Source organism: Homo sapiens, chromosome 17 (assembly GCF_000001405.40).
Source record: "Homo sapiens chromosome 17, GRCh38.p14 Primary Assembly".
Taxonomy (NCBI): Eukaryota; Metazoa; Chordata; class Mammalia; order Primates; family Hominidae; genus Homo; species Homo sapiens.
The window spans coordinates 58,960,175-58,988,078 of NC_000017.11; the positions used below are offsets into that span (position 1 = coordinate 58,960,175).

Here is a 27,904-nt window from a genome sequence, read left to right on the forward strand (position 1 = left end):
CTTTGATTTTGTTTTCAGGCTCCATGAGGTGGCAGTATGACTTGCTAGGAACCCAGGTCTTCATCTCTCCAAACTCAAGTTGAGCAGGAAAACAAGAGTAGATTTTCTCAGTTGTTTTTACAGAAGCCACAGGATTTACTCTAATTGGTCCAACTTGGATGGTTTCCCATTCCTGAACTAATCACTTTTGGCCAAAGGAATGGGGTTGTCTAACTGGCTAAACCTGAATCACAGGGTTTCAGAGTAAAGAAAGAAGGAAATGTTATTGGAAGAAAAAGCAATGTTTGCTAGTTTTAAATAACAATTAAAGCAAAGTTCTGGCCAGCACGGTGGCTCATGCCTGTAATCCCAGCACTTTGGGAGGCCAAGGAGGGTACATCACTTGAGGTCAGGAGCTCGAGACCAGTCTGGCCAACATGGTGAAATTCCGTCTCTACTAAAAATACAAAAATTAGCTTGATGTGGTGGTGGACGCCTGTAATCCCAGCTACTCGGGAGGCTGAGGCAGGAGAATTGAGGAGGCGGAGGTTCCAGTGAGCTGAGATCACGCCACTGCACTCCAACCTGGACTACAGAGCAAGACTCTGTCTCAAAAAAAAAAAAAAAAGAAAAATAATTATAATAAAGCAAAGTCTGATTAAAAATGGCAAATAAATAACCAGGAATAAAGTGATTAAGAAATATGAAGGACTTATTAAAACTCTATTGAGCAACATAAAAAGGATTTAAATTTAAAAAACAATATAATTTTTTCCTGGAAAAGACTCAATATGAAACGATATATATTTTTTCCAAATCTATAAATTTAATGTGATCCCAAACACAATAGCAACAGGTTTTTCTGCCCAAACTTGTCAAAATGTTTAGAAAGTTCATCTGGAAAAATAAACATAAAACTACCCAAGTGACATCCTTTAAAATTAAGAGTAATAGGTAGGAAAACTAGACCTCCCGATATTAAAACATTTTAAAGTTATGGTAACTTAAAGAGAATGGTAGCATTATAGAAATAGATGCTGAGATGAGTGAAGCAGAACACAATCAAGAAGCATATAAATGTTTAATATTTTAATGGTTATTTAATTTATATAACAGTTTACATATTTATTTTTTCAACAAGCATCTAATGTAGACCCTGCTATCTGCTAGGTACTATACTATGGCTTGTCAAGGGCAATTAAGACAGTCTGTATCTGCAGTCTAATTTGGAGATGAAGAACATGGACTTTTGAGTCAGACAGACCTAGGATTGAGAATGATGTTACCTATTTGTGAAATGTTCTAGAGGCATAGAATGTAGCAAATACTCAGTAAATGTTATTTATTATTACCAAAAGTGGTTAAGAGCTTTAATAGACAGCGTGAACAAAGTATAATGGGAACACAGGGGAAGGAGCAACTGGGAGTGGTATGAACAGATCTAGTGATTTACCAATGTTAGAGGAAACTGATATTACTTCCTCTAACCAAGTTAATCTGTCTATACCAGCTCTGTCCAATAGACAGTGCAATGATGGAAATGCTCCCTACCTGTGTTGCCCTATGTGGGAGCCACTAGCCACATGTGGTTATCGAGCAATTGAAATAGAGCTAATGTGACCGAAAAACTGAATTTTAAATTTTATTTAATTTTAACTTACTTTTTTAGAGATGGGGTCTTGCTATGTTGGCCAGGCTGGAGTGCAGTGGCTATTCACAGGAGCTATCATATCATACTATAGCCTCAAACTCCTGGGCTCAAGCAATTCTCCCACCTCAGCCTCCCAAGTAGCTGGAGCTGTTGGCACATTGGGACCACTGCACCCTACTGATTAATTTAAATAACCATGGCCGGGCGTGGTGGCTCACATCTGTAATCCCAGCACTTTGGGAGGCCAAGGCGAGTGGATCACCTGAGGTCAGGATTTCGAGACCAGCCTGACTAACATGGAGAAACCCCGTCTCTACTAAAAATACAAAATTAGCTGGGCATGGTGGTGCATACCTGTAATCCCAGCTACTCGGGAGGCTGAGGCAGGAGAATTCCTTGAACCTGGGAGGCGGAGGTTGTGGTGAGCCGAGATTGTGCCATTGCACTCCAGCCTGGACAACAAGAGTGAAACTCCATCTCAAAAAAAAAAAAAAAGAAAAATGTAACCACATGTAGTTAGTAGCTACTGTACTTGACAATGCAGATCTACATAAGAGTAATATACAAGCCAAAGAATGATATAATAGTTTATATTATTATCTGGGAACTATCCTGATAGTTAATATGTTATTCGTTTCACCCTACTCCATTCTCCCTCAAAGTTTCTAAATTCACTTGATTGTTTTGTAATCCTGTTATGGCTATGTCAGATGAGGACACATCCATCTCAGGGTCTGCATTTGGGGGCCTATACTGCTGCAGAGACCAGATAGGTTGCAGTGATACAAGCAGGTAATTGCTGGCTGGAAGAAATAGTCTCTGGCAGCTAGTGCTTAAATAAAAATTGGAGTTGCTCAAAACAATCAAAATGTTGGATTGTCTATTGGCCTCAGTTTCCTTCTTCTATATACCTCCACAGGCTGTCTTTGCTCTTTGTCTTTTCTCTTTTAAATTCACCCTTGGTTTTCAGTTACATAAAAATGCTAACAGTAGGGACAGGCATGGCAGCTCATGCCTGTAATCCCAGTACTTTGGGAGGCTGAGGTGGGAGGATCACTTGAGGCCAGGAGTTTGAGATGAGCCTGAGCAATATAGTGAGACCCCATCTTAACAACAAAAAAAATTTTTTTTTAAATTACCCAGGTGTGGTGGCATGCACCTGTGATCCCAGCTACTTGAGAGGCTGAAGCAGAAGGATTGCTTGACCCCAGGAATTTGAGGCTGCAGTGAGTTGTGATTACATCACCCCACTCTAGCCTGGGCAACAGAGAGAGACCCTCTTATTTAAAGAAAAAAAAAGCTGGGCATGGTGGCTCATGCCTGTAATCCCAGCACTCTGGGAGGCCGAGGTGGGTGGATCACCTGAGGTCAGGAGTTCGAGACCAGCCTGGCCAACATGGTGAAACCCCGTCTCTACTAAACATACAACAAAATTAGCTGAGTGTGGTGGCGGGTGCCTGTAATCCCAGCTACTCGGGAGGCTGAGGTAGGAGAATCGCTTGAACCAGAGAGGCAGAGGTTGCAGGGAGCTGAGAATGCACCATTGCACTCCAGCCTGGGCGACAAGAGTGAAACTCTGTCTCAAAAAAAAAAAAAAAACTTGGCCGGGCACAGTGGCTCACGCCTGTAATCCTAGCACTTTGGGAGGCCGAGGCGGGTGGATCACGAGGTCAGGAGTTCGAGGCCAGCCATTTGGAGACCATCCTGGCCAACATGGTGAAATGCCATCTCTACTAAAAATGTGAGAAAAAAAAATTAGCTGGGCGTGGTGGCAGGCGCCTGTAGTCCCAGCTACTCGGGAGGCTGAGGCAGGAGAATGGTGTGAACCCAGGAGGCGAAGCTTACAGTGAGCCCAGATGGTGCCACTGCACTCCAGCCTGGGCGATGGAGCAAGCCTCCATCTCAAAAAAATAAAAAATAAAAAATAAATAAAAATTAGCCAGGGGTATTAGCAGGCACCTGTAATCCCAGCTACTCAGAAGGCTGAGGCAGGAGAATGGCTTGAGCCCAGGAAGTGGAGGTTGCAGTGAGCCAAGATTGCACCACTGCTCTCCAGCCTGGACCACAGAGCAAGACTCTCTCAGAAAAAATAAAAAATAAAAATAAAGAAGACAAAACCACAAGACAGGATTTACCACCCTGTGCTATGTTAATGAGGAAAAAAAGGACAAAACCTTGAGGTCAGCTTTTTTAATATAGCCATTTAAAAAATAATTTTGAATACGAAAAGAGGTAAACGTAGTCACAGATTAAGGCAAAGACAGGACTGAGAATCAAGTTGGGAGTCCACGTCCCAGGCTGTTCTAGAACATATAGTCTCTCTCTTCTTTGGGATTTGTATTCTAGATTGGAGGAGGCACGTGTAGCCATTGCCATCTGTCACTTATTTTCTCAGGCTGTCAAGCTATGTCTGATTTAGTTAAGTAAAAAGAAAATTTAAGTTCATTTTTTTTTTTCACCTGAGATGTAGGAGGAACTTCTAAAATACTGGCCTGAGAAAACCTAATCTCTCTTTGGTTATTTCAGTAGCTCAGCTTAAGTGGAGGGCAACTTGAGTGGAGGGTTCAATGATAGGAAATACAATCTCTTCAGTATCATTCAGTGTTGCTTAAAAGGCTTACACATGTGTCCATCTACTGAGGGTACATGTCTGCCTCAGAAGTCAGCTCGCCAATTCTACCCAATAGGTGAAGCGGTAGACATAGGTGAAGCGGTAGACATAGGTGAAGTGGTAGACATAGGTGAAGCGGTAGGTTTAGGGTCAAGAGACCTGTTAGTATTGCTCCTCTGGCTGCTCTCTGTCTTTTTCTATCTAGGATCACACGCATAGACAGAACTTAAGTAATTTTTCCTTAGAGTAGTATTAAAGTTTTAACTCATTTGCTAACCTATTGGCTAAACTGTTTAAACTATGGCCTAAAACTTTAATAAACAAATAATATCAAACAGAAAAAACAGGCCGGGTGCGGTGGCTCACGCCTATAATCCCAGCACTTTGGGAGGCCAAGGTGGGTGGATCACCTGAGGTCAGGAGTTCAAGACCAGCCTGGCCAACATGGTGAAACCCTGTCTCTACTAAAAATACAAAAAATTAGCCAGGCATGATGGCGGGCACCTGTAATCCCAGCCACTTGGGAGGCTGAGGCAGGAGAATCACTTGAACCCAGGAGGCGGAGGTTGCAGTGAGCCAAGATCACGCCATTGCACTCCAGCCTGGGCAACAAAAGCGAAACTCCGTCTTAATTAAAAAAAAAAAAAAGTATATATATACACACACACACACACAATTCAGTTACAAATGATGATCATTTATAGGAGAAAAAAGGGAATTGGATGTAAAGGAAGAAGTCAGGGAGAAAGAGGACAAAGACAAATGGTAAGCAACGTAAACCCTTCTTATTTCTGTAGTTTGTGGGCTGTTTTCGTAGGCCTTCCATATTCCAATAAACACTGTATTTATCCAGCTAATTGGACTACGGAAGCAGTGTTAATCACTGCTTATTTTTCTAAGCATAGGAGGCTTGGCTCTCCTGGTGATAACCATACCAGACAACCAAAAAGAAACCGGTGCTGGGAACTAGGGAGCAGTGTGGTGAGAGCATTTCTCCAGCTGGAAGAAATCAAGCCAGGAATAGGTCCAGCCCTGGCCAAAGGTTTTCTCCTCATGACATAAGAATATTTAGTGGCAGCTGCAGGCTGATGATTTTCCACTAGATAGGTTGTGATTTTCTCTCTTCAGAAGCAGCATTTCATTTTTCTTGAGAAGGATGAATTTCTTCTATGAAGGAGGAACTTGACTAAGGTGACCTACTTCTGTCTTTACCAAGCAGAGAAGTGAAAAGCAGTTTTACAAGGCTCTTCATTGGGGGTTTCTGTGTTTCTTTCACAGAGATTGAGACAGTGAAATTGGCCCGTTCTGTCTTCAGCAAACTACACGAGATTTGCTGCAGCTGGGTGAAAGACTTCCCCCTCCGCAGGAGACCCCAGCTTTATTATGAGACATCAATCCATGCCATCAAAAACATGCGCAGGAAAATGGAGGACAAACATGTCTGCATTCCTGACTTTAATATGCTCTTCAACCTAGAGGTAAAGGGCACTTTCGGAGAGTCAGTGAGATTTTAAAGACAAAACAAACACCTTCATGGTCCTGTTAGAAAAGGAAAACTTCTGTTATATTTCTAATTGTATCTCTGGTAGATTAGAGTAGGGCTAAGTGCAAAGTGGCACAAATTTGCAACAGAAAAGGAACTATTTTACGTTCTTTTGAATAGGTAATGCATTCACATGGTTCAAAATTGGGAAAATAAAAATGTCTCTTATCCTTGCCTCCCAGGTACTCAGTTCCCTTCCATGGAGGCAAGGTAGTCTTTTGTGTCACCTTCCAGAGCTATTCTATAAACATATAAGCAAAAAAGAAAATGATTAGGCTGGGTGTGGTAGCTCACGCCTGTAATCCTAGCACTTTGGGAGGCTGATACGGGAGGATTGCTTGAGACCAGGAGTTTGAGACCAGCCTGGGTGACAGACATAGTGAGACTGTCTCTTAAAAAAAAAAAAGAAAGAAAAGAAAAAACAATTAAAAAAAATTATATCTCAATAAAGCAGTTTTGTAAAAAAAAAAAAAAAAAAAAAAACCCAAACTATTTCTATAGTATAATCAAATGGTGTATTAAGTTCTCACATTACTATGTTGCTGAAGCAACACAAACACAAAAGGAAGATTTAAGACTGACGCAGTTTATTTCATGTGATTTTCTTTTTAAAATCTTGGTCTCTGAGATAGGAAAGTAGCTGGAATTATATTTCATAAATCTCTGTATCTGACAAATTGGATCTATATGAGCCTTGGCAGCTTAATAACTATTTTCTTGTTATCTTTCTTTTCTTTTTCTATTAAATGTATTATGTTAATGCAAACAAGTAGGTTTGTTTTCTTTGCCTGTCACTTGCCTCTTTTCTTCACTCAAGTCCATAACTTAAAAATTACAATGTAGTAATTTATACAAAGCACAATATTTCCTCTGTTTAGCAGCTAAATTTACATTTTAGCTGTCAAGGTCTAATCAGCAATGATGGCAGGTTGGTAATTGGTGTTTATGTTATAAAGATAGATCAGCTGATGTCTTTGTTTCTAGTACCATGGCCATGCAAATGTAACCCAGAAGGATTGTGTGATAAACAATCCTTATATCACTATACCTACTTGAAGATTATACTCATATTTGGGGCATTGTTGTTGTTCGTTGACTTCCTTGGTTTCTGTTTTGCCTCCTAATTTCAAAATTAGCCCAAAGGACTTAACTCAGAAAGGAGAACCTTGCTATAGTGAAATAGATTTTAAGAGCAATATGGCAACACATATGTAGAACCTAATAAATTTTCACACTCTTTGATCTGGTCATTTCACTTTTAATTCTTTATTATAAGAAAATAGAAATGCAGAAAAGTCTTAGGCATGTGTTTTGTTTGACATAAATGTTTTTACAACATTGTTTATAATAAATTGAAAATTATCTAAATCATGAAAGGGAATGATAACTATGATATGCTCATATAAGATGCATATTTTAAGCCATTTAAAACAATGTCTTTAAATAAATCTTAGTGCGATGAGGAAATGCCAATAATAAAAATGACGAAAAGTAGGCTATAAAATGTCATGCACATTCTGATCCTAATTTCATTTATATATATGTGTATATATATATATATAGAGAGAGAGAGAGAGAGAGAGGGAGGGAGGACTGGTTATCTGTGTATGGTGGAATTATTAGTGATATTTCCTTTGTTATTAGTCTAAATTATCATACATTATTATAATAGGGAAAACATCAGTGAATGTTTTGTGTTTTTTTAAAAAGAAGCTATCCTTTTTTTATTTTTTTAAGAAATCCACTTAGCTTCCTTTTGTTTCTTGTGGTGCTATTTCGAGTTGTTTAAAAATGAGTACTGCTTTAGTAGGGATAGAAATTCTACCTGTCAGCATTCTTTATTTCTTTTTTTTTTTTTTTGAAACGGAGTCTCGCTCGCTCTGTCTCCAGGCTGGAGTGAAGTGGCGCGATCTCGACTCACTGCAACCTCCGCTTCCCGGGTTCAAGAGATTCTTCTGCCTCAGCCTCCCGAGTAGCTGGGAGTACAGGCGCGTGCCACCACACCCAGCTAATTTTTGTATTTTTAGTAGAGACAGGGTTTCACCATGTTGGCCAGGATGGTCTTGATCTCTTGACCTTGTGATCTGCCCGCCTTGGCCTCTCAAAGTGCTGGAATTACAGGTGTGAGCCACCGCACCCGGCCAGGATTATTTCTAGAGAGTTGTTTAATCCGTCCTTCATGTCATTAAAGTTGCTGAAAGAACTAGTTGTAATGTGTGTGTTAGACAAAGGTTTCATAACATTTTGGTTATTATTCTATGGACATTTATATTTGATACTTTTGTGAATGTAATATACCCTTTTAAAAGTAACTTTTTCAGCCAGGTGCAGTGGCTCTTGCCTGTAATCCCAGCTACTTGGGAGGCTGAGGCGGGATGATCCTTTGAGCCCAGGAATTCGAAGTTACAATGATCTGTGATCATGCCACTGTACCCTAGCCTGGGTGTCAAAGTGAGACGCTGACTCCAAAAATAAATAAATAAAAAGAACTTTTTCAAAGTACAGATATACTTGTTATTTTAGTAGCCCTTCCAAATCCCCATGAGACAGCAACTCGTCCCTGCCTAACAGATGAGAAAACTACATGATTTGCTTAAGAATCAATGACAGGCCTGGACTCCTCTAAGGCTCTTAGAACAGAAAAAGAAGTCAAAAGACTTGCAAATGAAAATTATTACATACTGTTGCCTGAAGGGAGCTCAGGACTCAGTGCGAGTTCAGTGCGTCACAGATCTCCTAAGTGAGACAGATCTGAGATTTAAACACTTGAGCAGATGATAAAGCAGCAAACTGCTTAATGGTTGATGTGGAATCTTATGATTAGGCTTTTGTCAAGACAAAGCACAGGGTTGGAAGATCCTCCTCTGGCAGTTTACTTTGCAAGGAAATGTGAAACTAAAATCTTAGATCATGGGGTGAGGCAAAGTGGTCAGCCGCACAGGGCATTTGAGCATCTGATGTGGTTCAAGTTTGGTAAACTAGTTTAGAGATGCTGTGCTATTTGTGGTGAGAATGCAGTGTGACTGGGAATGATTTATGAAGAAGGTATTATAGTTTAGAAGTATGTTTATGCTTTCATATCTTTATATATTTTAAACTTGATTTAATTGGCCTTGTGTTGGAAGACCAGTTATTTTCTATTGTTCTCAGGTTCTAATTTTGCTATTAAAGTACTTTCATTTTGAAAAAAATCACTCAATCTGGAGCTGCTTTTGTTCAATTCCTTCTCATACCCTCCCTATCCCCCCTCCCCCAACTTGTAACAGCAATTTTGAAGCAAATGTACGTGGGTGGTTTCCATGGTACAAGACAACAACTTTCACAGAGAGAGGGCACTTCAGCTTGAGCTAATTGGGCATGACATGTTCCAGTGTTCTGGTGTGTAAACACAGATACCCTAATATTGCAGGTATTTCAGCAGTTGATCAGGCATGTTAGAGAAGGAAAACATTTAGTCTCATTATTCTGAATGACAAATGCAGTGGAGGAGAAAGGATGGGCAACAATGATGCCAGGAGATTGGTTCATTTGAATCATGCTATACCCAACTCCCATAACTGTTCTGTGTTTCTGTTGACAGGACCAGGAAGAACAAGCTTACTTTGCAGTGTTTGATGGCCATGGGGGAGTAGATGCTGCTATTTATGCCTCCATTCACCTCCACGTTAACTTAGTCCGCCAGGAGATGTTCCCCCATGATCCTGCTGAGGCCCTGTGCAGGGCCTTCCGGGTCACTGATGAGCGGTTTGTGCAGAAAGCAGCCAGGGAGGTATGCCCCTTTCTCATAAGTTCCAGCTAGAAATGTACTAGCTGAGCTCAATTTGGTCTGTGTGGTTAAAGGGCTATTTAGATTTTCTCTTTCTGGGCAGACATTATCCAAACTGTATTCTTGACTCACAGTATTGGATTCTGTTGTAGTTCCAATTCCCTCCTCAGGAAGAGTTTCAGGGGGTACAATGAGGTACTGTATAGAAAATCTCAAGCTGTAATTTTCTGGATTCATTTCTGTAATAACTGCTGGATTTGGCAGGTGAGTTTCATCTTTCTTTTATTCACCATTGCCTGTCAGGTTCACACCAGGACCATCTCTCTAAGCAGACTCTTGCTGACAAGATCTGGATATGGTGAATAAAACAATGGTCTAAAAAAGAAACAGAAACTGGGATTACTTCCATACATTTGGTTCTAAATGGGTAGGCAGTGTTTTGCTGTGTATCTCTTGAGGGAAAATTCGCTTGGAGAGGGTGAATCCTTAAATGATCCTTGAGCTGATTTTTCTCTTAATAGGGAGAAAAGAAGAGCTCATGTCCTACATTGCGAAGGTTAATCAGACCTAAGTTTTTTTTACTTTGAATAAATGGCAAGGGCTCTATATTAAGGTCTAAAAGTAAAAAAATTAATCTAATTATCGTTCTGGGTATTGGTACATAATTAACTACAGTGTTCTATATTGGATTTTTAACTGGGGACGAATAAAAGAATTTTTAATTTTTAAAAATAATTACAGAAGTAGATACAGACAAAAAATAAGACTCCTGCCCTGTGACTTAAACATTAACTCTTTTTAAAATGGGCTTGGAGAGATCAGGGTAATCATTTAATCCATTTTTTGATAGCATAGTTATGCTACAAGCAATAATGGGGCTTAGAATTAATGAAACAATAACTCAGACCTATTTGGTATTAAGAAAGAGAATTATTCTTCATCTCTCCCCTCCCCTAAGTTTGGATTAATATGCAAATCCAACAGTAACCAGTAGAGTCCACACAAAGAGGTGGGTCTGGAGAATAAAGCCACTCTTGACCTCAGAGCTCCAGTCTCTTGAGGACCTGCATTCTGCTTGGCTCTGCCTCTCTTGAAGCTGTGGGCTTTTATCATCTGAGTCGAGGACAAGGGCCGGCCCCTGAGAGGTGACCCGTAATCATCAATGTGAAACAAAGAGATTCACTCTGTCTTCTTCATCCTCTATTCTATTCTTTTTTTCCTCTGTCTTCTCAAAATTATGTGTTGTTGTTGTTGTTGTTGTTTTCTGACCATGTTTACCTCATTTGTTTTGTCAGTGACCCTGGTGTCTCTCAGTTCTGCCAATAGTTCTGAATAATTTAGGTTTGTCTCAGCGCCCCTTTTCTCCTTCTTATGCTTCCATGTGCTGCTAACTGCTGGGAAGAAAACAGCTATTCCTGTTATGAAGCAGCCCTGCCTCCTGTTCTCTCCAGGGCATATGCACTGAAGTGTGTTTATCATGTGTTCTAGGGGGCTGAGTTTTTGAACATTCTGTGTGGGAAGACATTTTATTGGTGGGTGAGGATTTATAACAAACTTTCCCTATATAGGGAAAACGAGAAGTTGTTTTTCTCATTGGATACAAGAGACCTTTTACCACCCCTGACGCATTGGTTCTAATTTAGGCCAGGTCCTTAGTAACAGAAAGTCATGCTCATTTGGTGGTGACTCATGTCAAATGGGGATGTCATTTTCGTATAGTAGGACCAAGAGCTTTAAGTACAGTCGTAGCTACTGCAGTGAAATTCCAGGCTGTTAGTTCTTTATGCAATGTTCCAAAAGCAAAGACCCCTAAAAATACTGTAGGAAGGATATTTTTTTAAAGGTATAAGCATCTTAGTACTCCAGGGAACGTAAGCTGTCTCTTGGCCCCTTAGCTTAATTTCCAGAGATTAGAGCATCTGTTGTGTACCAATCAGATGTTTTATATATCATTTTATACAGCTAGGACTCTCCCACTGAACAAATACGATGTCAGTAATGAAATGGAGAGCAGAATATAGAAATTTTTACTCTGAGGATTGGTATAGAGGATTTAGTGCTTGACTGGGAGGAAAAAGAATTTCAATTCTGTCTTATATACTAATAGTTACCTGCCCTTGGGCAAGTCACATAACCTGCCATAGTTTTCTTATCTATATTTAAAGTGGAATTAATAATCATCCTCGCCCTGCATATCACAGATCAGGTGGACTTATGTGTGTATATACACATAAATACATACATGCATATACAAATGCATTGAGACAATGAATTATTATATATGTGTGAAATTCCATTATTAATAGTATAGCTCCCAGCTGAAAAGCTTAATTATAAATTGCTTCTCAATAAGAATGTAGTATCTATTTCTTTTCACTGAGTCTAGTTTTATTTAAACTGTTTTCAGAGCTTAAGATGTGGGACCACAGGAGTGGTGACTTTCATCAGAGGCAACATGCTACATGTGGCCTGGGTGGGTGATTCCCAGGTTATGCTTGTGAGAAAGGGCCAAGCTGTTGAACTAATGAAGCCACACAAACCAGACAGAGAGGTAAGTATGGTCTGTTTTAATAGAGCCCATGCTCTAGTTATTAGTTTAGATTTTCTAGTTATTGATTAGGATTCACTTACTTTTTTTTTTTTTGAGATGGAGTTTCACTCTGTTGCCCAGGCTGGAGTGCAATGGTGTGATCTTGGCTCACTGCAACCTCCGCCTCCTGGGTTCAAGCGATTCTCCTGCCTCAGCCTCCCGAGTAGCTGGGATTACAGGCATGTGCCACCACGCCCAGCTAATTTTTGTATTTTTAGTAGAGACGGGGTTTCACCATGTTGGCCAGGCTGGTCTTGAACTCCTGACTTCAGGTGATCTGCCTGCTTCGGCCTCCCAAAGTACTGGGATTATAGGCGTGAGCCACCGCGCCCGGCCAGGATTCACTTAATTATTACAATTATTGCTATCACATCAGCAACTGTGCCCACCCTCCAATGGAGAAACAAAGAGAACCTTTTCATGAGCTGATGAGTATTATATCTGTTGTTTACTGTTAAAGTAAATGAATAAATCCTGAATCCAGTTATTTGCTTCTTTTTATTGCATTGCTGTTTAGGATGAAAAGCAGAGAATTGAGGCCCTTGGAGGTTGCGTAGTCTGGTTTGGTGCCTGGAGGGTGAATGGAAGTCTGTCGGTTTCCAGAGCTATTGGTAGGAAAAACAAATTTTTGTTTCTCCAAACTGTCCTCTTCTAGCTCATTCTCCTGTATCAACTCTGATACAGGGAACCTGAGATGATAATTTATGTTACCAGAATGCTTATTATTCTTTAAAATAATAATTGGATAACGTCTCTTTTAATTGTTTGATTTAGTTAAACCTGTACATTTATATACTTAAATTCCATTATTGAAAGAGAACTGCCAGGCTCAGTGGCTCATGCCTGTAATCCCAACACTTTGGGAGGCCGAGGCGGGTGTATCACGAGGTCAGGAGTTCAAGACCAGCCTGGCCAACATAGTGAAACCCCATCTCTATTAAAAATACAAAAAATTAGCCAGGCGTGGTGGCGGGCGCCTGTAATCCCAGCTACTTGGGAGGCTGAGGCAGGAATATTGCTTGAACCTGGGAAGCAGAGGTTGCAGCTAGTGGAGATCGCGCCATTGCACGCCAGCCTGGGTGACAGTGTGAGACTGTCTCAAAAAAAAAAAAAAAGAGAACCATATCAAGAAATGCAGAATTTTCTAGTTTCTATACATTTAAAATTTTATGGAAGCCTTTAATCAGTACCCAAATCTGCTTCAAACCACAGTGGTTGGGACAGGCACAGTGGCTCACGCCTGTAATCCCAGCACTTTGGGAGGCTGAAGAGGGTTTGAGCCCAGGAGTTAAAGACCAGCCTGGGCAACATAGTAAGACTTCATCTCTTAAAAAAACAAAAAACAAAAAAAACAAAGGCCGGGCGCAGTGGGTCACGCCTGTATTCCCAGCACTTTGGGAGGCTGAGGTGGGCAGATCATGAGGTCAGGAGATGGAGACCATCCTGGCTAACACGATGAATCCCCGTCTCTACTAAAAATATAAAAAATTAGCTGGGTGTTGTGGCACACGTCTGTAGTCCCAGCTACTTGGGAGGTTGAGGCAGGAGAATCACTTGAATCTGGGAGGCGGAGGTTGCAGTGAGTCGAGATCGCGCCACTGCGCTCCAGGCTGGGCGACAGAGCGAGACTCCATCTCAAAAAAAAAAAAAAAAAAAAAAAAAAAAATTGCTGGGCGTAGTGGCTTGTGCCTGTAGTCCTAGTACACAGGAGGCTGAGGCGGAAGGATTGCTTGAGTCCAGGAGTTTGAGGCTGCAGTGAGCCAAGATTGTGCCACTGCACTCCAGCCTGGGCCAAGGGAGTGAGATCCTGTCTTAAAACAAAAACAAAAAATCATAGTGTTTCTCATTTCATTGCATTTTGGGTCAAATCAGTATTTTTCAGAGAATGGAAGCCTTTCTCCGTATTTTATCCACATTCATTTTGTTTATGCCTCTAAATTATTTCCATGAATTTTAAAATGACATAAATAACAGAATAAGTTGATAGGAAAAGCATTGTGCTTTTTATATGAAAACTACTTTCTGTATGTGGAATACAGTCACCTGTCAGATAACCCTGGAGTTTCAAAGAACCCTATATCCCTGGGACTTAAATTTTTCAAAAGAAGGGAAAGTCAATGAAACTCGGTCTAAAACGTAGAGATTAAACAGCTAAGTTGGCTGGACAAAATACAAGGGTATAAGTTCAAAGAATTAAGCTATTTCTGTCTTTGTCTCACTTTGGGCCCTGGGTTTATTATTTTAGGCTTCATGGCTTAGCTTCACTTCCTGTTTTTTTAAAAAAGAATAAATCAATATGTATATCTATATGGGTGATATGTACATTACATGTATACTGCAGTTTTTAATCTCTGCTTCCCTAAAGAAATGAAGTAATTAGACATGGTTGGAATTCACATCTAGTCTCAAAATTTAGTTAAAAATTACCAAAAATTCCAGAACATGAAGAAAATCTGAAAGGATTTAGCTTTCACCACTGATTTGAGTTCCTCCCACTCTTTGGGAAGGTGCTAGCAAGCTGTGAAGTGGCCCAAATATGAGTAGAAAGCTGAAAGAGAAATAGCTAAAAGAGTCTACAAATACCTCCTGAAAAATTGAGATTTGGCTTGACCTTAGACTGGAGGGAATTATTAGGAACTCTAGAATAAGGCCAAAAAGGGGAAATGTCTCATTTCTAAAATATACCCTTATATGGAATTATTATTATTATTATTGGTGGGGAAAAGTCTTTATCATGCACATTGTAGGTTTAGCAGGACCCACTACCCATCAAATGCTACCCTTGACTGAAAATCACCGAACCAGAGGACTATACTATCTGTGGAACCAATTTACGTTAATGATCATTATATGAGTGCTTGAGTGGCCAGTGAATTAGGTTTACAACTCAAACCAAACACCTATTTCTCCTGATCTGACCTTTGTCAGAGGATTGAGGATCATCTTTAATACTTGTTACAGAACTAACTTAATAGAGAATACCAGCTTCTTCTTCTAAAAGGGAAAACCAAAGCAGGGAAGAATGTCCCTTAATAAGTGACAATCTCAGAGAAAAGGCTGGGTATGGCAGCCAGCACTGTGGAAGGCCAAGGAGGGAGGAATGCCTGAGCCCAGGATTTTGAGACCAACCTGGGCAACATAGTGATACCTCATCTCTATTTTAATAATAAAAAATAAACAATCTAAGAGTGGATAAGGGAGACTTCATACATAGAGTGACTTTTGAGTTGAATGTGGAGGATAATGTGCTGGGAAGGAAATCCCTACACAGGTAGAGGGAAATATAAATACACAGGGGTTTGAAAAGGCATGGCATGTTTTAGGAAAAGCAACAAGTCCAGGAGGTTAGAGCAGAGATGGGAGTGGTAGATTAGCAGTGTTGGTGCCAGATTGCAAAGGGCCTTATGTGCGAGGCTAAGTAGTCTGGACTTTACCAGGTGAATACGCAGAGGGGCCACAGGGTCAGCTTTGTATTTATAAAGATATTTGTATGGAAGCTGGGCTAGAGTAGAAAGAGCCTGGCTGGGAGACATTCATACAGTTTGTTACAGAGATGAGGAGAGCTAAAAAGGAATATGGAGGAGGGTATCAACTGATGAGATGGATTGGTTGGTGGGAAAACCTACTAATCAACAAACAATCTGGCACTGGAAATAGGCAGTAACATAAAGGAGCAAGTGTAGATTTAGTTTCTTGGGCAGTTTGATGGTGAAGGGGAGAAAGGAAATAGTGTGGTGGCTTAAGGCAAAAGCTGATTCAGGAAAGGGTTCCTTTTTATTGTTTCTATTTTTAGGACGAGGAGATTTTAGATTTGAGCATGTTTGTAGGACAAGGAAGAGAGCAAGTAGAGGAGAAATTGAAGACGAGAGAGTAGAGAAGCCAGAGCAGCACAGGCTCACTGTTAGGATGGGAAAAGGACACTGCTTACCCTGAGAAAATGGTAGCTGATATGGGAGAATCTCTACAGATTAAACAGTGCATGTGTGGCAAGGGTGGGAGGGGAATTGAGAAAATTCAAGCCTGATCAACTTGTCTTTGAAGTAGGAAATTAGGCCATTTACCAAAATCCAGTAGCTTAAGTGGATGAGGGAGTTGAAGAATTTGAGAAAGAATTGGAAACCACATGGAATAAAATGGGGGGCTGCAAAAGGACAAGAAAAAGGACTCCTGGGCAGAGTTCAGCTCTACTCAGGAAAGAAATGATACTTATAAAAATGAAAAGGTTTTCAACAGTTTCTCCCCATGAGCCCTTCAGATTTATGATCCAAAGTTGACAGAGGCATGATATGTTTCCTAACATATGGAGAGAAGAGGTTGAAGACAAAAGGATGTTGCCATTTCTACGATGAAATGGATATTCATGCCCTCCTACCAAATTTGGGGGCGAAATGTCATGAATTTGACACCCAACAGTAGAGCAGGTGAAAAGCCAGAACTTTGGCAGCATTTTCTCTGTACAAATCTTTGTATGTTCTGTTCCAAACTAACAGTTGCAGCAGTCTTTTAATTGAAGCACTAAAACAAGATTTTTGGGAACAGTGTGACTCAGATCACATTTATTTTTAGAGGCGGAATTCAAAAAATAATAATGATGATAATCATATAGTCAGGTAGAATAGGGGATGGGAACTTTAGTAAATTGGTGAAGGACACTGAATCCCATATTGGATTTTATTTATTATTTATTTTTAAATATCTTTTAAATTTTTGCATTTTCTGCTTAAATAGATTGAGTTTTAATGAGCTCTAACAGGCTATGGAGGCACCTTAGCATATAAGTGAAGTTGATTAAATCAAAAGCATGCTTGGGAAAGATGGTTTTGACTCCTGTAAGAAATAATGAATGAGGGCTGGGCGCGGTGGCTCACACCTAGAATCCCAGCACTTTGAGAAGCCCAGGTGGGTAGATCACAAGGTCAGGAGTTCAAGACCAGCCTGACCAACATGGTGAAACCCTGTCTCTACTAAAAACACAAAAATTAGCTGGGTATTGTGGTGCGTGCCTGTAATCCCAGCTACTTGGGAGGCTGAGGCAGGAGAATTGCTTGAATCCGGGAGGTGGAGGTTGCAATGAGCTGAGATCACACCACTGCACTCCAGTCTGGGCCACAGTGAGACTCTGTCTCAAAAAAAAAAAAAAAAGAAATAATGAATGAATGAATGGAGAAGAGCCTAGATATGAGTAAGATGAGAGGTTGTGTTTGTGAATGGAAGGAGTGAAATGAACATTTATAATGTCGAAGACTAATTTCTTACCTAATAGATATACTAACTCAGGTAATTATATTAATTATTTGTTGCTCTGTGTATCTAATCATGCAACCTGCTAGATAGGGCATGTGCCCACATTGGTTCTAGCAGAGTTATCCATAGGGTTCCTAATGAGCTTTCTAGCCTATTTGAGGATTAAACAGGGATGTTAAATGTTGGAAAGAAACTTTTTTTTGAGACAGAGTCTCCCTCTGTCATCCAGGCTGGAGTGCAGTGGCGCAATCTGGGCTCACTGCAACCTCTGCCTCCTGGGTTCAAACAATTCTCCTGCCTCAGCCTCTTGAGTAGCTGGGACTTTGCATGCATGCCACCAGGCCCGGCTAATTTTTGTATTTTTAGTAGAGACAAGGTTTCACCATGATGGCCAGGCTGGCTTCGTACTCCCGACCTCAAGTATCCTCCCGCCTTGGCCTCCCAAAGTGCTGGGATTACAGGCATGCGCCTGGCCAACTTTCTTGTGTCAAAGAGAACCTATAACAGATACTAGAAATAATGAATATATAGTCAGATTACTCAAGTGAGTTTATCTTCATTTTAATATTCCCTGAGTCAAAAAGTTCGGTTTTAGTGCAATGGAAAGGATAGTAATTGATGAGAGTTGTGTAGGTGACAAGTAGAAGAGCTAGGATTTGGACCCAGGCAGTCTGACACTAGTGCTGGTGTCCTTAACCACTAAGCAATATGCCACTGCTATACAGTAAAGCCCTTTGTAAATATCTGGAGTTTATTTCTTGTTTTTATAATACTATGTAATGATGATTTATGATACCCTACTCTAGGAATTATTGCTCAGTACCCTGTGTGTGGTTTTGTTTTTATTTTTTTGTAAAGAAGTGAATGAGAGGCCAGATGCGGTGGCTCATGCCTGTTATCCCAGCACTTTGGGAGGCCGACACAGGCAGATTATCAGAGGTCAGGAGTTCGACGCCAGCCTGGCCAATATGGTGAAACCCCGTCTCTAATAAAAATATAAAAATTAGCCAGGTGTGGTGGCGTACGCCTGTAATCCCAGCTACTCCGGAGGCGGAGGCAGGAGAATTGCTGGAACCTGGGAGGCAGAGGCTGCAGTGACCCGAGATTGTGCCACTGCACTCCAGCCTGGGCGACAAAAAATAAAAATAAAAATAAAAAAGTGAATTGAGAGTCCCTTGTTGTAGTCATAAGCTATTTGGTTACCTCATAGGCTAAGGACCCTTTTGCTGCACTCTCACAAGGTACCTAAAGGAATGTAATCAATGTAAACAATGAATGGATTTGGAAGTGCTCTGGATCTGAAAGCCCTAAATGATCAATTATCTCAGTAGTCTGGTGATAGAAACCTAGTTTAGTGTGGTCCCAAGGTCTGCAGTCTCGCTCCTACCCCAAGCACCCTACTCTCCAACTGTACATTACTCCCTAACAGTTGCCTCTGCCTTTGCTTATCCTGTTCCCTCAATTGAGGCAACTTCTCTGCCTGGTGATAACTAACTTACCCTTCAGGACCAGCTCAGATGTCATTCTGTGAGAGGACGAAGCTAAGCAAGAAAAGGAAGAGAGAAAGGCCCAGAAAGACCTTGGGTTCTCACAGTTGTTAATGAGTGGGGAAATGCACAATAACAATAAAGACAGAAGTGGGGCGATGAGCAGAGCCATATGAAGAATATGGCAGTCTCTAAATATAAGAGAAAAATGGCCATACATTTTGTCTGTTCTCTAGAAGTTACAGGTAAAGCACCACTAAAAAATAGAAAGCCAAGTGGGTTGGGAATCAAGAAAACTGCATTCAGCTCCCATGTGTGAGGCCTTGGGTCAGCCACATAACTCCTCCTGGCTTAAGGGAGTTAGACTTGATTTATAAAATCTCGTGTAACTCAAACCTTCCTTCGTGCTCGCAGCATGAAGCTATTTATTGATTTCTAAACAAGAATAGAACAAAAATTATTTAATGAAGAGAATGATCAGAGCTTTGGTTTGCTTCTTTCAATGTGGGCTTGTTTTCAAATTTCAATTAAATCAAAACCACCTGCAAAAGAACAGATCTACTGAATCAACCATGTCTTCCTACACAGTGTACTGAATTTTTCAGTACAGCAACAAACTTTTAGATCTGACATTGTTGTTACACTCAGCTAAGCCTAAATCATAGCCAGAGGTGCAGATTCAGAGTCTAAGCTAGGTAAGGACTTATGCCCAGTAACTAGCAATTATTTAACTGGGAGTAAGGAGTAAGCAGATCTGATTACCAGAGAATTTAAGTATTTTGTCAAAAACTATTTTATAAATTCTTTCCAGTCAAGTCAGTTCACAATCCAGTAAGCTGTGATCAGAGTCATGGCATTGGTCATAAACGTTCTTAGCATGCAAGGTAAAACAAATGCTAATGATGCCCCTACACTCTGCTTCCCGCAGGAGATGCTGAACATAAGCCATATATCTGTGGGGATGCAGATTCTGCCTCCACTGTTCTGGATGGGACCGAAGACTACCTCATTCTGGCCTGTGATGGCTTCTATGACACCGTGAACCCTGATGAGGCAGTGAAAGTTGTGTCCGACCACCTGAAAGAGAATAATGGAGACAGCAGCATGGTTGCCCACAAATTAGTGGCATCAGCTCGTGATGCTGGGTCAAGTGATAACATCACGGTTATTGTGGTATTCCTGAGGGACATGAACAAAGCTGTAAATGTTAGTGAGGAATCAGATTGGACAGAGAACTCTTTTCAAGGAGGGCAAGAAGATGGTGGGGATGATAAGGAGAATCATGGAGAGTGCAAACGCCCTTGGCCTCAGCACCAGTGCTCAGCACCAGCCGACCTAGGCTATGATGGGCGTGTGGATTCATTCACTGATAGAACTAGCCTGAGCCCAGGGTCCCAAATCAACGTGCTGGAAGACCCAGGCTACCTAGATCTCACACAAATAGAAGCAAGCAAACCTCACAGTGCCCAGTTTTTGCTACCAGTTGAGATGTTTGGTCCTGGTGCACCAAAGAAAGCAAATCTTATTAATGAGTTAATGATGGAGAAAAAATCAGTTCAGTCATCATTGCCTGAATGGAGTGGTGCTGGAGAGTTTCCCACTGCTTTCAATTTGGGTTCAACAGGGGAGCAGATATACAGAATGCAGAGCTTGTCTCCTGTCTGTTCAGGGTTGGAAAATGAACAGTTCAAATCCCCGGGAAACAGAGTTTCTAGATTGTCTCATTTACGCCACCACTACTCAAAGAAGTGGCACAGATTCAGGTTTAATCCAAAGTTTTATTCATTTCTCTCTGCTCAAGAGCCTTCCCACAAAATAGGCACTAGCCTGTCCTCACTTACTGGAAGTGGGAAGAGAAATAGGATAAGAAGTTCTCTGCCATGGAGGCAAAATAGTTGGAAAGGGTACAGTGAAAACATGAGGAAGCTCAGAAAGACTCATGATATTCCATGCCCAGATCTTCCTTGGAGCTATAAAATAGAATAATTTTTCTTTCAAGTAGGTTAGCTAGCTCTCCCCCAATAAAAATACCACTATCAGAGTAGAAACAAGGTAGACATTTCTAAAACATATGTGCTTCATTATGAATCCATGGATGGCTCAATTCTTAAATGTAAATAGATCTCTAGGAAACTCAAAGTACAGTGTTTTCAATCTAAAAAGAAGTATTGGCAGTTTCACTTGCAAAATTACACAGCTGGTCCCTGTGATGTGTCTCGACACCAATACACAACCCCCTTCCCACCATCCTTCATGTCACTAGATACACAACCCCCTTCCCACCATCCCTTCAGTCACTAGTGGAAGCTTTCAAGTTAGTTATTTCAGTCAGGATATACAGTGTTGAAATCTCAATGCAGTTGAAATCTGGTCTGATGTGCCTAATTTATCTGTGGAAAATTTAATGCTGAATTACATTTGGTTGGGAAATGTCCCTCAAAATCCTGGGCACTATGAAGGAACCCCCTGCCCCCTCACCTTTTTGGGTAGGTAAAAGACTAAAAGCCATATGGATTTTAACTGATAACAATGAAAGTGGTAAATCAGTGTAAAAGTGTCATATTCTCAGACTTGTGAGGCGGTTTATAGTCAGAAAGATTTACGGATTTTTTTCCTGTAACATAAAAGATTGTGAACTTTTTTTAATTAAAAAATATTTCCTAGGGCTGTAGTTATTTGGGAGTTTCATAACCTGTTATGGTGCTTTTGGTGGAAATTTTTATTATTTAGCATTTTAGGAGACCGCTGTCAACTGGTTTTAATCTATGATGCTAATGTGTTTTCCACTGTACCCTCATCTCAGGAATAAAACTGCTTTAACGGAGATGATGTCAGGTACAAATACACTATAGAGTCAAAATACCATTTACAAAGAAAATCAAAAGCATTTCTATATTTTGTCTTTTTTTAGTTCAGACAGCAAAGGCATGTACTACTATAAAATACAAAGTGATTTTAGAGAATGAAAAATGCTACTTTTATCTTCTCTAAAATTATTTCCCCCAAGGTAGTGAAGTAATTGGAATGAAGGAGGCTGAAAGTATTGTCTAAAGTGAGCCCAGAGGCCACTGAGAATGCAGATTACTGACAGCCAGGTCTGTTTAGTTGTAATTGGAAGACACATGAGTGTCCTGCTTACATGTAGCTTCAGACTGCAGAGACAGGACGTGTGCTTTTCATTTCAATATTTAGTTATATTTGATATTTTGAAACTGTCTGCTTTTTGCTATTTCTGCAGTTTCAAGTTAGTTAGAAGCATGTTGTCAACTAAAGACAACAAACTATCAGATTCATTCATTCAGTGAAGCAGCCTCTGATTCTCTAAGAGTCACGAATGTCTTAGTGTTACCCTCCCCTAGTCAACAGCAGACCAGCCTGGCCAATGCCTATGGGTGGCCCCTCTGGAGTGCTCACTAACAAGGGTGAGTGCTCTCGCTAAGAAGTGTCCCCCGCCTAATCATGTGTTTATAGGATAGTACACGTTCCCCAGGCCCATAACAGAGGACTAAAATCTCTGAATTTTAAAGACACAGATGACTGGCATATTTTGGATACCAGTATAGCTATATCAAATAGACAAAAACAGCTTCACTTTAGCAATGATCAGATTGTTAATCTACAGATTTTATTTTTTAAAATTTGGATGTAAGTAGAGACTTTCAGTATTTGTTTTCTCTTGATTTTGAAGTCATTTCTTCTTCTCACGTCTGTGACAAATGGTTGAAAAGGAGTCAACATGGCCCCAACTATAGTGCCGGAACCTTTTCATCATTCTGAGGCTTTGCCCCACACATGGTCCTCACTCATATCTGTCACCTTCTGAAGCCTAGATCTTGTTAACCCATCAGGTGCAGTGTCAGTTTCAAATCAAATTATCTAAGAAAACAAGAAAACAAAGGCAGCAGACTATTGGTACACATTATAGTCCAAAGTGCTTAGCGAAGTAAAAAAAAAAGCTTTTTAAAATTTCTATTGTTGTCTATTGGTAATGTTTTTGATCAGAATAAAGAGGGTAAAGGGAAAAAGTTACTACACATGCTAGGCTTTCTCAGTGGGGAAAAAAATGGCTGGATAGAACTGGGACAAACACAGACCCATCTTTAGGGGTCTGGATTTTGTAGGTCCGACTACACAGCAGTGTTAACTCATTTCTCATGCCATTAGCTCTCTACAAAATAAAGCAAAGTAGTTCTAGTGTGGTCGTTATAAACCAATATTGTGAAAAATAGCAACTATTCATTTGTTCACAACATGCGTATTTATAGAGTAGTTAGGTACCATTTGTAAGGTAAATCCTTTAAAATTCTATAATACATACTAAAATAGTGGTTATTGGTCTGATATATGCTGCTCTTGGTTCTATAAACTAGATAAAAGCAGTGCTTTGTGAAATGCAGTGTTCTCTCTTAACGCCACTGGTGATAGGAAGTAGTTCCCTTCAGTTCAAATCCTGTGCCCTTATTTGCTGCTTGCTGACGTAAGCAATAAGTAACCCTCTAACTAATGGTATCTACATATTTCTGTAACTTGTATTTAATGATGGTGTACCTGGTGATTGTAAAAATATTAGACAGATATAAAAGTATCTATATAATATCTATAAACTGTTAATGCTGAGGTATAGTCTGTGAATTATGTGTTTTGTATTTTTATTCATTGTGTAATTTAGTGGTGGTGAAAGTTCTACACTCAATCCTTAAAGAGTGGCAGTATCCCTTTTTCAATTTAACATGGTCTGCATCAATCTGTTTGCCTGCTAAACAAGTTAGAATAGGAAATAGTAAAATAAATCCAAACAAGAGTGTAATATTGGTTAGGGAAACAAACTTCAGGTCACCAACTGAAGTCATTACAAACTCCTTGTACATTCACTGTGAGTTTCAAAGGGAGTCAGTCCCTAATTTACAGGTTTCCTTTGTTCACTTTCTAGATGTGTACTTTTGAGGGACATGAGGTTAGGCAACATTACAGCAACACACACTGGGGCTATTAATCCCATTTAGGTCTGTACTAAAGAGGATGGGTAGAAACACATATGTATATACCTTTTCTTTACCTAGAAGTGCCATCCATTGTCCTTGAATTATTATGATTAAAGTTACTGTTGCATTTAGGAGGCTCCTTGAAAGTAACACCTTTTCCAAGGACAATGGCAACAATGTCAATGTCAACACTGAGTCTAATTTTGACCACATTTATAGTGGTATAGTGTCAATACTGCATTTTCATGACAACCACACTCCACTGTTGAAACACTGTGCCAGTGAGAAGTGCAACATCCAGTGGGCAGATGAAAATGATGCATGGCCAAGTTCAGTGTTTACAGATAAAACTGCTGTGGTTCAAGTGCTTCCTTCCCCATCAAATCCTTGATAAGGCTTTGTGGGAAAATGATCTAAATTATTGTTTTAATTTTTAAACCTAATTTATTCACTCAGTGAACATTCTTACCTAAGCAAGGCTATAAAAGGGAATACTACAGTTTTGTCCACACTTTAATTTGAGACCATTTTTCTTTGAATCGTAAGTTAGCAAAAGAAATTTTTTTCACCTTTGAAAATCACGTGATGTTAAAGGACAAATGCCCACTCTTCTATTCTGATCTGCAAATAGCTTAAATGTCTCTTGCAAAACAAAGTAAGATACCACCAGTATTACAACACAATGATTTTCCAGACAAATGGTATGGTGTTGAAAAATAACTGTTACTTCTTAAAGCAGCATTTTATCTTCTATTTTGAAGACTATTTATTGTAATAATTAGAAAACATGAAATAGGGAACTCCAGACTGACACAGCAGTTGTTTTTGAAAAGGAAATAAACTTTGATGAATTAGATAATCCAGATACATCATTGTAAACTCTTACTCTAGGTGCTCTTTGGTGAGAGACAGGCTTTGTTCTCTTGTTCATAACATTTCTCTGCAAAGAATTCTCTATGGAGTGAAGCGAATGAAGTGAATAATTTCTTACCAAATAAATTTATCAATTTACAAATCTGCTCTACATCTCACTTTTGAGTTCAGTTGTAGTCATGAGTGATCCTTCATATTTTATTAAAAGTGTTCATTCAGGTAAGGTGTATGTTGAAATTTTGCCAATTATCTTAATAAAACCTGGCAATTTAAAAACCACTAGTCATTTGTCTTTTTATTTAAAGGAAAGGTAAGTTATTTACTGTTTAAATTTGTGCAGATTTCTTCAGAACTGGAAAATAAAATCCTGAGATGGACGTTAAGTTTGGAAGCTTGGAACATTTAAAAAGAAGATTTGCTAAATGCTGCTGTAACATTATTTTACCCCAGAAGAGAGGTATTTAGCCTTATACATGTTCTCTTCATTAGCTGAACTGCGAGGAGAGGGAGTGGTGTTATAATCCTAAAAGAAAAGAGGAACCCGACCTGCCAAGGACTAAGCGGTGGTCATCAAATCTCCCAACTACTTCATTCTTAGAACTCTGCATCTAACCAAGCTTTCCCCTTTCGCTTAGCCTCTTTGAGTTTCAAGCTAGAAGAAAGTAAGGAAATCATCAGATGAGCTGTGGTGGAAAGCCTCCCAAGGACTGCTGATAAGTGAGTAAAAGGAGACAGAGACAAAAAGGACAATGTGGGGGAGGGAAGTCACTTACGACACCTGCATCTGAAGGGAGGGAACTGACCTTCCAAACGAGTCAACCTTGTCAATACACTGCACTGTTCTCCTGCCTACCAGTAAAGAAGGCCTTTACAATTAATTTTACATAGTTTCAAAAATCTTCAACTCCTAATTCCCTAAATTCATTCAGTCCTTGGCATGACTTTATATAGAACCAAATGAACAATTGAGAAAAAAAAGGTGAAGTTTTGAAAGAAGGACATATTTGAAGGGGTTTACTGAAGCAGGGAATGACAGAAAAGGAACATTTTGATTAGTAAGTGTTACACTTGAAAAAATTCCCTAAAATATAGTATTACTTAGATCAAAAGGAACACCTCTTTCTGAAGGAGCAGCACACAGCAAGACAGAAGGGAACCACTAGGTACAGTAAAATCATTTGAACATCATAGAAATTTACCCAAGTTACCAAATTATCAGAAACAACTGTCTGTACTGACAAGCTGCATAACTGAGCATTCCCCCCCACACCCGCCCCCTGTTGCTGTCAGTGTGCATCATTTCCTTTCCTTCTTTTGAGATGGAGTTTCATTCTGTCACCCAGGCCGGAGTGCAGTGACGTGATCTTGGCTCACCACAACCTCTGCCTCCCAGGTTCAAGCGATTTTCCTGCCTCAATCTCCCAAGTAGCTGGGATTACAGGCGCCCGCCACCACACCCAGCTCATTTTATTATTATTAGTGGAGGTGGGGTTTCACCATGTTGGCCAGGCTGGTCTCGAACTCCTGACCTCAGATGATCCACCCTCCCACCTCGGCCTCCCTAAGTGCATCATTTTCTTTTTGATTGCAAGTTTCCATCTGTCTTTTTTTTTTTTTTTTTTCTTTTTTGAGACAAGAGTCCTGCTGTGTCACCCTGGCTGGAGTGCAGTGGTGCAATCTCGGCTCACTGCAACCTCTGCCTCCCAGGTTCAAGCAATTCTTGTGCCTCAGCCTCCCAGGATGCTGGGATTACAGGCGTCGGCCACCACGCCTGGCTTTTGTGTTTTTAGTAGAGACGGGGTTTTGCCATGTTGGCCAGACTGGTCTTGAACACCTGACCTCAAGTGATCTGCCTGCCTTGGCCTCCCCAAGTGCTGGGATTTACAGGTGTGAGACACCACGCCCAGCCCCATCTGTCATCTTAACAGCAATTAGTAAAGAACACTTTTTCTATTGTGCTTTAGGGAACCTCCTTTTGCTTGGCCTAGGAATAACCTTATGGAAGATCCCTTACTTACATTTAAAACAAGTCACATTCTTTTCTGAGAGCCCCAACTGTTGAATATGTTTAGTAAGAAGCGCTCTTCCCTGGGCAGTTGGTTGAGCCTGCCTCTTATGCTGAGCTGTAGGATGCTGCCCCAGTCACGCAACCTCCAGATGAAGTGTGTCCTCTCCTCATTGTGCAAACAAGGGCCCTCACACACAGGTTCTATTTGATTTTTATAATCTTGCTTTAGGACCAGGGAAACAAATGTGAAAAACTGTCAAGAATGATACACATTTGGGGAAACCATTTTCCAAATGAGTAACTGGAGTTTAACTAAAGATGATGAAAAAGTTGTCCCTGCTAGTCATTACATTGAGTAGTATGACAGCTACAGGATTAGGGGTGGCCAATTAAGCCAAATCGAGTTGCTACGGGTTCACTAGGTCAAATGAAACCCAGTGGGAGGTGAGCCTATGCAGCAGCCTTTCCCAAATGCACACCAGGAGACACTGACTGACCTGAAGGTCTCGGGCAAGGACTCTGGCCCGCAGGGTCTGCAGAGCAGGAATGGAAGGGAGACTCCCGGTCAACATGCCAGCCAGAGAAAAGGATTTTAGAAAGAGAGCAGCCCGTACTACTGATGTCCCAAACTACACTGTGGCTAATCTTACCATTTGCTCTTAAGCATCCCTAAGCAGAGTTCTAAAACTTCTATAAATCTAGACTATGAAGGCATGTATTGGTAGATGTGAGAATGAGAGGTAGAATGAGGAGAAATCTAAAAATATTACCACATAAAAATTCAAATGAATATGCAAAAAAGAAAATAGCTCTTGGGGTTTTCTATTTCCCAAATTTTTCTAATCTTATCACCTTTATAATTCAAACATTTAAAAAACTAGATAAAAAAATTAAAAATGGCTCATTTTCTGAATTCTGGTTTTAGGATTAATTACACTCATGTTTTACATTCAATAAAATGTGTGTTTTACATATATACATTTTTAAATCACAGCACTTCCAGCTTCCACTCCGGGATGTAGGGGTAGAAGGAGCATTTCTTCTACTCTTACAATGCAAACGAGCCAGATGAACTATAAATTAGGACATTTTTTCGAATCCATTGGAAAGCTGAGGTTGCAGAGTAACCAAGTGGCACCAAATGGAGAGGGGCAGTTGCCTGCAAGGGGA

The 27,904-nt window shown here is 40.3% G+C and overlaps 2 protein-coding genes across 33 annotated transcripts in view; one reads left to right on the forward strand and one right to left on the reverse strand.

Annotated features, from left to right (window-relative positions):
- The window catches only part of PPM1E (protein phosphatase, Mg2+/Mn2+ dependent 1E), a 229,326-nt gene extending 204,321 nt beyond the window's left edge, over positions 1–25,005 (forward strand). For 2 of the 4 annotated variants that reach the window (NM_014906.5, XM_024450657.2), the window contains exons 3-7: positions 5,520–5,719; positions 9,365–9,553; positions 11,958–12,101; positions 12,658–12,751; positions 19,800–25,005. In NM_014906.5, the coding sequence (NP_055721.3) occupies positions 5,520–5,719; positions 9,365–9,553; positions 11,958–12,101; positions 12,658–12,751; positions 19,800–20,857 (1,685 nt within the window). In that variant the 3' untranslated portion in view covers positions 20,858–25,005. The remainder of the gene's footprint in view (positions 1–5,519; positions 5,720–9,364; positions 9,554–11,957; positions 12,102–12,657; positions 12,752–19,799) is intronic. The other 2 variants (NR_048561.1, XM_047435630.1) reach the window with 1 other exon arrangement.
- Positions 7,027–27,904, reverse strand: part of TRIM37 (tripartite motif containing 37) — a 139,680-nt gene continuing 118,802 nt past the window's right edge. For 13 of the 29 annotated variants that reach the window (XM_047436122.1, XM_047436121.1, XM_047436114.1 and 10 more), the window contains one exon: positions 22,475–22,747. In XM_047436122.1, the coding sequence (XP_047292078.1) occupies positions 22,744–22,747 (4 nt within the window). In that variant the 3' untranslated portion in view covers positions 22,475–22,743. Of the gene's footprint in view, positions 9,926–22,474; positions 22,748–24,594; positions 27,894–27,904 lie in introns of those variants that run through there. The other 16 variants (XM_047436110.1, XM_047436107.1, XM_047436111.1 and 13 more) reach the window with 6 other exon arrangements.